The sequence below is a fragment of the Homo sapiens genome, chromosome 3 (genome assembly GCF_000001405.40).
Source record: "Homo sapiens chromosome 3, GRCh38.p14 Primary Assembly".
NCBI lineage: Eukaryota > Metazoa > Chordata > Mammalia > Primates > Hominidae > Homo > Homo sapiens.
Window position 1 is genome coordinate 109,397,294 of NC_000003.12, and position 15,211 is coordinate 109,412,504.

Here is a 15,211-nt window from a genome sequence, read left to right on the forward strand (position 1 = left end):
GGCCGAGCGTGGTGGCTCATGCCAGTAATCCCAGCACTTTGGGAGGCTGAGGTCGGCGGATCACCTGAGGTCAGGAGTTCGAGACCAGCCCGGCCAATGTGGTGAAACCCCTTCTCTACTAAAAATACAAAAATTAGCTGAGCGTGGTGGCAGGCGCCTGTAATCCCAGCTACTCAGGAGGCTGAGCCAGGAGAATCGCTTGAGCCCAGGAGGCAGAGGCTGCAGAGAGCAGAGTCGCACCACTGCACCACAGCCTGGGTGACAGAGCGAGACACCGACTCAAAAAAAGAAACCTGCCTATGTTGAAGCACAATGATCTGTTGTCCTGGTTTGAAAGCTGCAGAGTAGGTAAAGTGAAAGGAATAGTATGGGATTGCAGTGATGGCTGTTTAATTAAGGTCCATTACCATCGTCTATCCTCTTTGTTTACACTGGCCAATTGCAGATGTTTACATGAATTCAGAACCAGTAATTACCAATATGAAACTTAACAAATATGACTATGCTTTTGATACTGTTTAACAATTTTTTTAATCAGAAATTTAGTAGGCTTAAAGATGTAATACTTGACATATAAAATGCAAGTGCAATTAAAATTAGTTTTATTTATTTATTTTTTGGAGACAGGGTCACCCACGCTGGAGTGTAGTGGTGTAATCACAGCTCACTGCAACCTCGACTTCCCAGGCTTAAATGATCCTCTCACCTCAGCCTCTTGAGTAGCTGGGACTATAGGATCATGCCACCATGCCTGGCTAATGTTTTTAATTTTTAAATTTTTTTGTAGAGACAGGGTCTCAGTGTGTTGCCTAGTCTGGTCTTGAACTCCTGGACTCAAGTGATCCTCCTGCTTTGGCCTCCCAAAGTGATGGGATTACAGGGGCGAGCCACCTCACCTGGCCAGAATTAGTTTTATTATTAAAAAAAAAAAAGAGAAGACAATCTGCAAAACAGAAAAAAGAATACGTCTGTTAAAAACTACAAAAGATGGCTGGGTGCGGTGAATCGTTTGAGTTCAGGAGTTTAAGACAAGCCTGAGCAACATGGTGAAACCCCATCTCTCCCAAAAATACAAAAATTAGCTGGGCATGTTGGTGCGTTGCCTGTGGTTGCAGCTACTTGGGAGGCTGAGGCTGGAAGATGGCTTGAGCCGGGAAGGTGGAGGTTATAGTGAGCTGAGATCATGCCACTGCACTCCAGCCTGGGCAACACAGTGAGACCTCATCCCAAAAAAAATTACAAAAGACTGGGAGAAAGCAGAAACAAGTATTGGGAAGACTGTGCTATGTGTAGAACACTCCTGTTCCACTAATAAAGGAATGTGACCTTTGATAGATTGAGTATAGGGAACATATAATGGAAGCATTAAAGGGGTGGATCTTCCTTACTTTTTGCCTCCACTCTACACTTTTAGGTCAGACGTTCCCCGAAAGGGGTATTATCAGGCCTAGAGTAGAGACAGATGAGAGGTGGTTGAAATTACTCTATTGTTATTGTATAACATAATTAATATAAGCAGTGACTCTATGGGATCCTTTAAAGCTTTTATTTTCTGGGTAAACATTTGTACCTGGGCCAGTGCTGGAATTAGTGACTGCTTCCCACTCTTTCTGCTTTTCTTCTCTTGATCACCAGTGGCAGGAGGGTGAGGCTAGGTAGGAAGGAAAGCTTGATGTCTGGATGTGCCCAGGGAGGATTTGGGTTGTAGCTGGTCCTCTAATTCCACCTAGAGGTAAGAACTGGATGTGGTCAGGGAGAATCCTCTTGCTACTTCTCTCTTGCTACAAGCTGGCAGGCTCCAGTTTTACTAAGGAACACAAAAGAGTCCAGAATAGGGCGCGCACACACACACACACACACACACACACACACACACACACACGATCATATTTTTTGGTTCATTTAAAAATTTTTTATTGTCATATAATATACACAATAAAGTGTACCAATCTTAAGTGCTCCATGAACTTTTACATATGAAAACACCTTTTAACCACAATTCGGTTAAAATTATCTGAATATATGCAGCAGCCCAGAAGGTAATATGAGGTGTGTTTTCAGTAAATACTGTCATCCAAAGTAACTAATATTTATTTTTCCACCCAAATGTAGATGGACATTGGATTAACTTCTGGTGTGGACTATTATAAATAAAGTTACCTTAAATATTTGTGTGTGTGTGTGTGTGTGTGTGTGTGTATATATATATTTTTTTTTTTTTTTTTTGAGACGGAGTCTTGCCCTGTCGCCCAGGCTGGAGTGCAGTGGCCCGATCTTGGCTCACGGCAATCTCTGCCTCCCAGGTTCAAGTGATTCTCCTGCCTCAGCCTCCCAAATAGTTGGGATTACAGGCATGCGCCACCACACCCAGGTAGTTTTTTTGTATTTTTAGTAGAGACGGGGGTTTCACCATGTTGGCCAGGATGGTCTCGATCTCCTGACCTCGTGATCCGTCCACCTTGGCCTCCCAAAGTGCTGGGATTACAGGCGTGAGCCACTGGGCCTGGCCCACAGTATACATATTTTCCCCCTACTTGCTTTTTAAATTTTTCCATGTGTCATGAATATCATGTCATGGCATACACTGAAAACAAAATTCAGATTCTTGGCATGTACAGAAAAACCTCCTGAACAAAAACCTTTAAGAGTAAAACTTAGAAATCCATATTTTTTAAAAGGACCCCAGGGAATTTCGCTGTAAAAAGTAGATTTGAGGCACAGGCCCCGATTAACTCCTGGAGAGCAGAAACTAGAGTCACACATATTTTAGATGAACGACTCCTGTGTACTCTTAACTTTGTTAAGTGAATTTTAATGGTTCTGCTTTTTCCTCCATATTGATTATCTAGACCAGATTTTATGTTTGACTTCTCTGGAGAAATGAGGAGGAAAATCTTGGTCAAAGATAACTTCACTGATGCCATTTTAAACACAAAAGAACTCAGGGATCAATTGAGTGTCCCTAGAAAATGGGTTGAAACCTTTTTCTCTCCTGCTGTCTTTGTCAGATCATTTAGTTATAAGGTATTAATAACTGAAGCTGGATTGATCAAAACAGAGATATTAGATTTAGTTTTTCACTGTGAAAGCTAAGTGTGTGTCAGGATAGGCACTGTTAAAAAATAAAACCCTCTTATCAGGAAGCTTAAAAAGCACATAGCAAAGAGAATTTCAGTGGCCCAGAAGAGTCTGGAAAGAAGTAAAAGCACTGGCAAAGATTTACTTTGCAATTTATAGTACATATGAAATTTTTTTTTTTTTGAGACAGAGTCTTGCTCTGTTGCCCAGCTGGAAGGCTGGAGTGCAGTGGCGTGATCTTGGCTCACTGCAACCTCTACCTCCTGGGTTCAAGCGATTCTCCTGCTTCAGCCTCCTGAGTAGCTGAGATTACAGGTGCTTGCCAACACACCTGGTTATTTTTGTATTTTTAGTAGAGATGGGGTTTCACCATATTGGCCAGGCTGGTCTCAAACTCCTGACCTCAGATGATCTGCCTACCTTAGCCTGTCAAAGTGCTGGGATTACAGGCGTGAGCTGCTGCCCCGGCCAAATATGGGATGGTCGATGTAACTTATTCTTGAGACCAAATTTCGCTCTTGTTGCCTAGGCTGGAGTACAATGGCACGATCTCAGCTTATCCCAACCTCCGCCTCCCTGGTTCAAGCGATTCTCCTGCCTCAGCCTCCTGAGCAGCTGGAAATACAGGCACGTGCCACCACGCCCAGCTAACTTTGTGTTTTTAGTGGAGATGGGGTTTCGCCATGTTGTTCATGCTAGTCTTGAACTCCCGACCTCAGGTGGTCCGTTCTCCTGGGCCTCCCAAAGTGCTGGGATTACAGGCATGAGCTACCTTGCCCGGCTTGCATTACTTTCTCTGGACTGCTGTAAGAAATTACCACAAGCTCAGCAGCTTAAAGTAATAGAAATTTATTGTCTCACAGTTTTGGAGGTTAGAAGTCTGAAGTCAAGATGTTGGCAGGGGTGGTTCCTCCTGGGGGCTTTGAAAAAGAATCTGTTCCATGCCTCTCTTCTAGCTTCTGGTGGTTGCAGGCAATTCTTGGAACTCCTTGGCTTATAGATGCATCACTCCTATCTCTGCCATTGTCTTCACAAAGCATTCTCCCCATGCGTCTCTGTGTCTCTGTGTCTTTACAGGGTCTTCTTAAAAGGAGACCAGTCATTGGCTTATGGACCACCCTACTCCAGCATGATGTCATCTTAACTAATTACATCTGCAAAAATCCTACTTCCAAACACGGTTACATTCTGAGATTCATGATGGACATGAATTTGGGGGGGGGCATTATTATTGTCATTATTATTTTAGAGATGGGGTCTTACTATGTTGCCCAGTCTGGACTACAGTGGCATGATCATGGGGCACTGCAGCCTTGAACTCCTGGGCTCAAGCCATCCTCCAGTCTAAGCCTCCTGATAGGTGGGACTGCAGGCACATGCCACTGTGCCAGACTGGGTGGACACTATTGAACCCAATACATTACCTACTTTAGCAGACAATCCTACTATAGCTGAACTACAGAAACTGGAGCTGACGTTTCTGTACATTCTTTTTTATTTTATTTTTTTGAGATGGAGTCTCACTCTGTCGCCCAGGCTGGAGTGCAGTGGCGTGATCTCGGCTCACTGCAACCTCTGCCTCCCGGGTTCAAGCGATTCTCCTGTCTCAGCTTCCCAAGTAGCTGGGATTACAGGTGCACACCACCACCACGCCCAGCTAATTTTTTGTATTTTAGTAGAGATGGGGTTTCATCGTGTTGCCCAGACTGGTCTCGAACTCCAGAGCTCAGGCAATCCACCTGCCTCGGCCTTCCAAAGTGCTAGGATTACAGACGTGAGCCACCACGCCCGGCCCGTTTCTGTACATTCTTAGCAGAAGTTTTAAAAAGGGGAGAGAATATTGTTAGATCCTTTCCTTCTTCTTTTTCCAGAAATGAAGCATTTGGGCTTCCCTCTGTCTTTGTTACATTGTTAAGGGAAGAGCAGAAATAGGTGCCTGAGAGACAGCAGCAGCCCTGGCACCGTGTTTCAGGCCTCCACAAGCTCTGTGCTCATAGATTCTAGTGACCCTGTTTGGCTTCTCAGCCATCCCTTCCCTAGAATGCTAACCAATACAATTTCTTGGGGGGCTCCTTTAATTCTCAGTGTGGCCCTGGTAGTGGAGGAAGATAGTATGAATTTTTCTTCTTCCTTAAAGAGTTACAGTTAGTTCCTGTTTTGGCTTTTAATTTTTCTTTTTGGAGTTGTAATCTATATCTTTTCTTTTTTCTTTCCGCTGGTCCCCAAGGCAAATGTCAGGGCAAGAGTAGAGCTCCTCTTGCCAAGGATAGCTTCCAGAAGCTGCTTTTGTTGGCTCCTATATAAGCCGGTTACATAGGTACTTTAAGTTTTTGTTTTTCTCAGCATCATTTCTAGATGTCAGCTTGTTGTTATGTTCCTACTGGGCTGTTGCTAATGGTATTCGTACTATCACACAGATCATCCAAGGACAAACTTCACCAACCTGCCTAACCTTATAGAGTGTCATACACCCAACTGCTCCAGCTAAACAATTCTTGGGAAATTTGGCACCTGTATGTATGAGAGAGAGAGAGAGAGAGAGAGAGAGAGAGAGAGAGAGAGAAGGAGAGAGAGAGTGTGTGTGTGTGTGTGTAAGAGAGAGAAGCAGGGGGCTTGTCTGAGTTTGGGCTGCTATAACAAAATGTCATAGACTGAGTGGTGTTCACAACAGACATTTATTTCTCACAGTTCTGGACGCTGAGAAGTCCAAAATCAAGGTGTTGGCAGATTCGGTTCCTGGTGAGGGCCCTTTTACTGACTTACAAATGGACGCTTGCTCTCTACGTTCTCACATGGTTGAGAAGGAGAAAAAGGGGAAAATCTCTGTTGCTTCTTATAAGGGCATCTCTCCCATCATGAGAACCTACACTCCTTGCCCCACGTAAACCTGATTATGTCACCAAATCGCCATCTCCAAATGGGATCACATTGGGGGTTAGGGCCTCAACACATGGATTTTGAGGGGACACAATTCAGTTCATAGCAGGGCTGTTTAATATAATGTGGTTGTCATCTCCTGGACTCAGAAAACTTGAAGGCAACAATAAATTTAATGTTGATAGAAAATTATTTCAGTCAGCTTTCCTTGTTTCCTTAAAATAAAAGAGACTTTTAGGAGATGTCTAATGTTCTCTTCCTCACATTTTTACTTTTGATGATTTTTAATGAATGGGGAAGAGTTACAGCAACCTTCTCTTTTTTTTCCTCCTGATCCATTGAGAGAGGGCATTTCAATTTTTAAGCCCAGGACAAACATATTTATTTTGTTTTCTTCTCCTGCCCAGATGGTTAAAGATCATTAGCTTTAGGACATTCAAACATTTTCAGTCAGGACTCATTTTTTTTTTTTTTGAGATAAGGTCTCACTCTGTCATCCAGGCTAGTGCAGTGGTGCAGTCTTGGCTCACTGCAACCTCTGTCTCTTGGGCTGAAGTGATTCTCGTGCCTCAGCCTCAATCAAGTAGTGGGGATTACAGGTATGTGCCACCACACCTGGCTAATTTTCCTAATTGTGGTAGAGACGAGATTTTGCCATATTGGCCAGGCTGGTCTCAAACTCTTGGCCTCAAGTGACCCATCCGCCTCAGTCTCCAAAAGTGTTAGGATTACAGGCGTTAGCCACTGCACCCAGCCTAGGACTCATCTTCTAAAAATTGTTGTTATTGTTGTTTTGAGACAGGGTCTTGCTCTGTTGCCTAGGCTGTAGTACAGTGGCACGATCACTGCTCACTGCAGCCTCAACCTCCCCAGGCTCAGGTGATCCTCCCACCTTAGCCTCTTGAGTAGCTGGACTACAGGTGTGAGCCACTACACACAGCTAATTTTTTTTTTTTTTTTTTTTTTTTTTTTTTGAGACGGAGTCTCACTCTGTCACCCAGGCTGGAGTGCAATGGCACCCTGTGGGCTCATTGCAACCTCTGTCTCCTGGATCCAAGCAATTCTCCTGCCTCAGCCTTGCGAATAATTGGGATTACAGGCAACCACCACCATTCCCGGCTAATTTTTATATTTTTAGTAGAGACGGGGTTTCACCATGTTGCCAGGCTGGTCTCCAACTCCTGACCTCAGCTGATCTGCCTGCCTTGGCCTCCCAAAGTGCTGGGATTACAGGCGTGAGCCACCATTCCCGGCCAATTTTTATTTATTTTATTATTTTTTCATTTTATATATATATGTGTATATATATGTGTGTGTGTGTGTGTGTGTGTGTATATATATATACATATATATATATTTTTTTCTTTGAGATGGAGTGTCGCTCTGTCACCCAGGCTGGAGTGCAGTGGCATGATCTCGGCTCACTGCAATCTCTGCCTTCTGGGTTCAAGCGATTCTCCTGCCTCAGCCTCCTGAGTAACTGGGATTACAGGCATATGTCACCATGCCCGGCTAATTTTGTATTTTTAGTAGAGACGGGGTTTCTCCATGTTGGTCAGGCTGATCTTGAACTCCCAATCTCAGGTGATCTGCCTGCCTCGGCCTCCCAAAATTCTGGGATTACAGGTGTAAACCACTGTGCCGGCTTTATTTTTTGTATTTTTTATAGCCATTGTGTTTTATTTTCTGGAAAGTGTTACTCATTTTACTATTAAGTCATAGGTTTATTTTTATTTTATTATACTTTAAGTTCTGGGATACATGTGCAGAACGTGCAGGTTTGTTACATAGGTATACACATGCCATGGTGGTTTGCAGCATCCATCAACCCATCATCTACATTAGGTATTTCTCCTAATGCTATCCATCCCGTTGTCCCCCACCCCCCGACAGGCCTTGGTGTGTGATGTTCCCCTCCCTGTGTCCATGTGTTCTCATTGTTCAACTCCCACTTATAAGTAAGAACATGTGGTGTTTGGTTTTCTGTTCCTGTGTTAGTTTGCTGAGAATGATGGTTTCCAGCTTCATCCATGTGCCTGCAAAGGATCTGAACTCATTCTTTTTTATTGCTGCATAGTATGGTGTATATATGCCACATTTTCTTTATCCAGTCTATCATTGATGGACATTTGGGTTGGTTCCAAGTCTTTGCTATTGTAAATAGTGCTGCTATAAACATACGTGTGCATGTGTCTTTATAGTAGAATGATTTGTAATCCTTTGGGTATATACTCAGTAATGGGACTGCTGGGTCAAATGGTATTTCTGGTTCTAGATCCTTGAGGAATCACCACACTGTCTTCCACAATAGTTTAACTAATTCACACTCCCACCAACAGTGTAAAAGCGTTCCTATTTCTCCACATCGTCTCCAGCATCTGTTGTTTCCTGACTTTTTAATGATCACCATTCTAACTGGTGTGAGATGGTATCTCATTGTGGTTTTGATTTGCATTTCTCTAATGACCAGTAATGATGAGTTTTTTTCCATATGTTTGCTGTCTGCATAAATTTCTTCTTTTGAGAAGTGTCTGTTTATATCCTTTGCCCACTTTTTGATTGGGTTGTTTGTTTTTTTCTTGTAAATTTGTTTAAGTCCCTTGTAGATTCTGGATATTAGCCCTGTGTCAGATGGATAGATTGCAAACATTTTCTCCCATTCTGCAGGTTGCCTGTTCACTCTGATGATAGTTTCTTTTGCCGTGCAGAAGTTCTTTAGTTTAATTAGATCCCATATGTCAATTTTTGCTTTTGTTGCCATTGCTTTTGGTGTTTTAGTCATGAAGTCTTTGCCCCTACCTATGTCCTGAATGGTATTGCCTAGGTTTTCTTCTAGAGGTTTTATGGTTTTAGGTCTTATGTTTAAATCTTTAATCCATCTTGAGTTAATTTTTGTATAAGGTGTAAGGAAGGGGTCCAGTTTCAGTTTTCTGCATATGGCTAGCCAGTTTTCCCAACACCATTTATTAAATAGGAAGTCCTTTCCCCATTGCTTGTTTTTGTCAGGTTTGTCAAAGATCAGATGGTTGTAGCTGTGTGGCATTATTTCTGAGGCTTCTGTTCTGTTCCATTGGCCCATATGTCTGTTTTGGTACCAGTACCAGGCTGTTTTGGTTACTGTAGCCTTGTAGTATAGTTTGAAGTCAGGTAGCGTGATGCCTCCAGCTTTGTTTTTTTTGCTTACGATTGTCTTGGCTATGTGGGCTCTTTTTTGGTTCCATATGAAATTTAAAGTAGTTTTTTCCAATTCTGTGAAGAAAGTCAATGGTAGCTTGATGGGGATAGCATTGATTCTATAAATTACTTTGGGCAGTATGGCCATTTTCATGATATCGATTCTTCCTATCCATGAGCATGGAATGTTTTTCCATTTGTTTGTGTCCTCTCTTATTTCCTTGAGTAGTGGCTTGTAGTTCTCCTTGAAGAGGTCCTTCACATCCCTTATAAGTTGTATTACTGAGTATTTTATTCTCTTTGTAGCAATTCTAAATGGAAGTTCACTCATGATTTGGCTCTCTGTTTGTTATTGGTGTATAGGAATGCTTGTGATTTTTGCACATTGATTTTGTATCCTTAGACTTTGCTGAAGTTGCTCATCAGTTTAAGGAGATGTTGGGCTGAGACGAGTTTTTGGGGTTTTATAAATATACAATCATGTCATCAGCAAACAGAGACAATTTGACTTTCTTTCTATTTGAATACCCTTTATTTCTTTCTCTTGCCTGATTGCCCTGGCCAGAACTTCCAACACTGTGTTGAATAGGAGTGGTGAGAGAGGGCATCCCTGTCTTGTGTCGGTTTTCAAAGGGAATGAGTGCAGCTTTTGCCCATTCGGTATGATACTGGCTGTGGGTCTGTCATAAATAGCTCTTATTATTTTGAAATATGTTCCATCAATACCTAGTTTATTGAGTGTTTTTAGCATGAAGGGGTGTTGAATTTTATCGAAGGCCTTTTCTGCATCTATTGAGATAATCATGTGGTTTTTGTCATTGGTTCTGTTTATGTGATGGATTACTTTTGTTGATTTGCATATGTCAAACCAGCCTTGCATCCCAGGGATGAAGCCGACTTGATCGTGGTGGATAAGCTTTTTGATGTGCTGCTGGATTTGGTTTGCCAGTATTTTATTGAGGATTTTCGCATTGATATTCATCAGGGATATTGGCTTCAAGTTTTCTTTTTTTGTTGTGTCTCTGCCAGGCTTTGGTATCAGGATGATGCTGGCCTCATAAAATGAGTTAGAGAGGATTCCCTCTTTTTCTTTTGTTTGGAATAGTTTCAGAAGGAATGGTACCAGCTCCTCTTTGTACCTCTGGTAGAATTCGGCTGTGAATCTGTCTAGTCCTGGACTTTTTTTGGTTGGTAGGCTATTAATTACTGCCTGAATTTCAGAACTTGTTATTGGTCTATTCAGGGATTCGACTTCTTCCTGGTTTAGTCTTGGGAGGGTGTATGTGTCCAGGAACTTATCCATTTCTTCTGGATTTTCTAGTTTATTTGCATAGAGGTGTTTATAGTAGTCTCTGATGGTAGTTTGTATTTCTGTGGGATCAGTGGTGATATCCCCTTTATCATTTTTTATTGTCTCTATTTGATTCTTCTCTCTTTCCTTATTAGTCTCACTCTGTCGCCCAGTCTGGAGTACAGTGGCGTGATCTTGGCTCACTGCAAGCTCCACCTCCCGGGTTCACGCCATTCTGTCTCAGCCTCCCGAGTAGCTGGGACTACAGGTGCCTGCCACCACGCCCGACTAATTTTTTTGTATTTTTAGTAGAGACGGGGTTTCACAACATTAGCCAGGATGGTCTCGATCTCCTGACCTCGTGATCTAACTGCCTCAGCCTCCCAAAGTGCTGGGATTACAGGCGTGAGCCACTGCACCCAGCCATGGATTCACTGATTTTTTGAAGGGTTTTTCATGTCTCTGTCTCCTTCAGTTCTGCTCTGTTCTTAGTTATTTCTTGTCTTCTGCTAGCTTTTGAATTTGTTTGCTCTTGCTTCTCTAGTTCTTTTAATTGTGGTGTTAGGGTGTTGATTTTAGATCTTTCCTGCTTTCTCCTGTGGGCTTTTAGTGCTATAAATTTCCCTCTAAACACTGCATTAGCTGTGTTCCAGAGATTCTGGTATGTTGTGTCTTTGTTCTCATTGGTTTCAAAGAACTTATTTATTTCTGCCTTAATTTTGTTATTTATTCAGTAGTCATTCAGGAGTAGGTTGTTCAGTTTACGTGTAGTTTTGTAGTTTTGAATAAGTTTCTTTTTTTAATAGTTTAATATATTTTAATAGCATACTTACAGGAACAGCACAGCAGACAGACAACATTAAAAACATGTACTTGCCTGGGTGCAGTGACTCAGGCCTGTAATCCCAGCACTTTGGGAGGCTGAGGTGGGCAGATCACGTGGTCAGGAGATGGAGACCATCCTGGCCAACACGGTGAAACCCCATCTGTACTAAAAATATGAAAAATTAGCCAGTGTGGTGGCACATGCCTTTAGTCACAGCTACTCTGGAGGCTGAGGCAGGAGAATTGCTTGAACCTGGGAGGTGGAGGTTGCAGTGAGCCAAGATCTTGCCACTGCACTCCAGCCTGGGCGACAGAGCAAGACTCCATCTCCAAAAAAAAAAAAAAAAAAAAAAGAAAACAAACAAACACGTACTTGCATGTAGGACAACTCAGTTAGAAAAACATAGTGAATGGATGGAATCTACTGTGTGATAAAAATGCTACAAACACCATTTAGTTGCTGTCAATAAGAAATTTACTTGTTTTTAAAAAAATGCTAATGCTGGCATTGTCTAGAAAAATTTAACAGGTTTATTTATAATTATTATAAAGTTGAACTGCTGAAACCTGTTCACTGAAACATTTTAACTTGCATTAATGCTTTACATCTCCACATTTATATTAAAAATTTACACACAAATGAAAATTGAAAAAATGCCATTACCTGATTTCTATCCCCTATTTTTCCACTTGCAATCATACACTTAGGTATCTTTTGACCCCATGGAAAAAAATATCTAACCTTCATAACCACCAATAACAGGAAGAAGAGAATTTTTTTCTTTTTCTTTTTTTTTTTCTTTTTTTCTGAGATGGAGTCTCACCTATCGCCCAGGCTGGAGTGCAGTGGCACGATCTCGGCTCACTGCAAGCTCCACCTCCTGGGTTCACACCATTCTCCCGCCTCAGTCTCCCGAGTAGCTGGGACTACAGGTGTCCGCCACCACGCCCGGCTAATTTTTTGTATTTTTAGTAGAGACGGGGTTTCACTGTGTTAGCCAGGATGGTCTCGATCTCCTGACCTCGTCATCCGCCCGCCTTGGCCTCCCAAAGTGCTGGGATTACAGGCGTGAGCCACCGCGCCCGGTCGAGAATTTTTTTCTTTTTGAGAATGAAATGTTTCCCATCATAGTGGATTCTTAAGCACGTTTTCCTTGTATGCGGCGTGCTAGCTGGATTTCTTTTGGCATAATAGTTAGCCGTTTGGCATGGATAGCACACAGGTTGCTGTCTTCAAAAAGGCCAACCAGGTAGGCCTCACTTGCCTCCTGCAAAGCTCCAATAGCTGCACTCTGGAAGCGTAGATCTGTTTTCAAGTCCTGAGCAATTTCTTGCACCAGACGCTGAAAGCGAAGTTTGCGAATCAGAAGTTCAGTGGCCTTCTGATAACGTCTGATTTCACGGAGTGCCACAGTACCAGGCCTGTAATGATGAGGTTTCTTCACCCCTCCAGTAGAGGGCGCACTCTTGTGAGCGGCTTTTGTACCCAGTTGCTTCCTGGCTGCTTTACGGTCGATTTGCAGGCAGTCCGCTTTGTACAAGCCATGGTATAGAGGCTTCCTTATTTACCTCCCTTATCCTTCAGCTGGAGCTCTGCGAGCCAGAGGCAGCGCTGGCGTTGGAGAGTGATGGCGGCATGGCGGTGCGGCGGCGGCTGCGAACACCTTGAGTGAGTTTCTTAATCCTCAGTTCTAATTTGATTGTACTGTGGTCTGAGAAACTTTGTTATGATTTCCGTTCTTTTGCATTTGCTGAGGAGTGTTTTACTTCCAATTATGTGGTCAATTTTATTTTTTATTTATTTGTTTATTTATTTTTGAGACGGAGTCTCGCTTTGTCTCCCAGGCTGGGGTGCAGTGGCGCCATCTCGGCTCACTGCAAGCTCCGCCTCCCGGGTTCACGCCATTCTGCTGCCTCAGCCTCCGGAGTAGCTAGCATTACAGGCGCCTGCCACCACGCCCGGCTAATTTTTTTGTATTTTTTTAGTAGAGACGGTGTTTCACCGTGTTAGCTAGGATGGTCTCGATCTCCTGACCTCGTGATCCCCCCGCCTCGGCCTCCCAAAGTGCTGGGATTACAGGCGTGAGCCACCGCGGCCGGCCTATGTGGTTCATTTTAGAATAAGTTCTATGTGGTGCTGAGAAGAACGTACATTCTGTTGATTTGGGGTGGAGAGTTCTGTTGATGTCTATTAGGTTTATTTGGTCCAGAGCTGAGTTCAAGTCCTGAATATCTTTGTTAATTTTTTGTCTCGTTGAAATGTCTAACATTGACAGTGGGGTTTTAAAGTCTCTCACTATTATTGTGTGGGAGTCTAAGTCTCTTTGTAGGTCTCAAAGACCTTGCTTTATGAATCTGGGTGCTCTTGTATTCTTTAATTTTATTTATTTATTTTTTGAGACGGAGTCTCGCTCTGTCGCCCAGTCTGAAGTGCAATGGTGGGATCTTGACTCACTGCAACCTGTGCCTACCGGTTGCGAGCGATTCTGCCACCTCAGCCTCCCAAGTAGCTGGGACTACAGACGTGCGCCACCATGCCGGCTATTTTTTTTTTTTTTTTTTAGAGACAGGGTTTCATCATGTTGGCCAGGCTGGTCTTGAACTCCTGACCTCAAGTGATTCGCCCACCTCAGCCTCCCAAAGTGCTAGGATTACAGGCGTGAGCCACTGCGCCCAGCCTAATTTTTATATTTTTTTCTAGAGAAGGGGTTTAACTATGTTGCCCAGGCTGAGGACTTATCTTTTAAGGAAGTACAGCTATTTGTTTCTGATTAAATATTTTGAATTAAAAGGTTACTTTTTTTTATATCAATGGTTTTTTGTAAATCCATGCCTCTATTTAACGAAGAGGACAGTACTAAGAGTTCATACTAAATTATAAACGGGCCGGGTGCAATGGCTAACACCTGTACTCCTAGCACTTTGGAAGGCCGAGAGGGGAGGATTGCTTTTGTCAAGGAGTTTGAGACCAATTTGTACAACACAGGGAGACCCCATCACTACAAAAAATAAAAACAAAATTAGCTGGGCTTGGTGGCGTGTGCCTGTGGTCCCAGCTACTCAGGAGGCTGAGCTGGGAGCCCAGGAAGTTGAGGCTTCTATGAGCCGTGATCAAGCCACTGCACTGCAGCCTGGGTGACAGAGTGAGAACCTGTCTCAAAAAATATATATTAATATATAATAAGATATATTAAATATTAAACAATATATTATATAATAAATAATAAATAATAATATATAATATGTATATTTATATAATATATATATAAATGAAGAAAAATAAGACTATACAGCTCCAATTTCCTGACACATATCTCACTCTGGGTCACTTTTAGATAGCTTTGGATGGTCTCAGGGTTAGGCGTTTCTGGGATTCAAAAAGATCACTTTTTTCTGTTATTTGTCATATTTACAATTTTAATAGTAACATGATCATTACTACTGTTTTCTGCATGTTAGATTCTAGGTTCTGAATTTGAGGTTATAAGCGACCTAGAAAATGATAATATTTAGAGTCGATATAATAATCAGCTTTTGTGTATTTTGTACATTGGGGAGTAAAATCTTGAGTTAGCCATAACCTAGAGTCTAGGACTACCAGTTTTGTCATCATTTTCTGATTCTTCTCAGTTCTCTTTGTTTTGCTACACTAGTGTAAATGTATTCCCTTGTTTCAATATAATAACCCCACATGTACATAGGCCCCTCCAAAACAGACAACATGCAAAAATGTAGAGTTTACGATTCTAAAGTGTTTAAGATTTCTACTCAGATGCTTTGATTTGCTTCCACAATCAGATACTGAATGTATCTTCTGTTTAAAGAATAGAGATGAGGAAAATAGCACTGTCTGTGTGTGTATGTGTGTGTGTGTGGTGTGTGCGTGTGTGTGTGAAATAGACTGATGTGATGCATTGTGACAACAGGTTGGGTTAATGACATCCTCTTTTTATAAGGACACCAGTC

General features: G+C 42.4%; 1 long non-coding RNA gene and 1 pseudogene across 2 annotated transcripts in view; one reads left to right on the forward strand and one right to left on the reverse strand.

The window, feature by feature from the left end:
• H3P12 (H3 histone pseudogene 12) lies at positions 11,223-12,909 on the reverse strand (annotated as a pseudogene).
• LINC01205 (long intergenic non-protein coding RNA 1205) overlaps positions 12,697-15,211 on the forward strand; it is an 85,178-nt gene continuing 82,663 nt past the window's right edge. For both annotated transcript variants that reach the window (NR_109841.1, NR_109842.2), the window contains exon 1: positions 12,697-12,914. This is a non-coding gene — a long non-coding RNA (long intergenic non-protein coding RNA 1205). The remainder of the gene's footprint in view (positions 12,915-15,211) is intronic.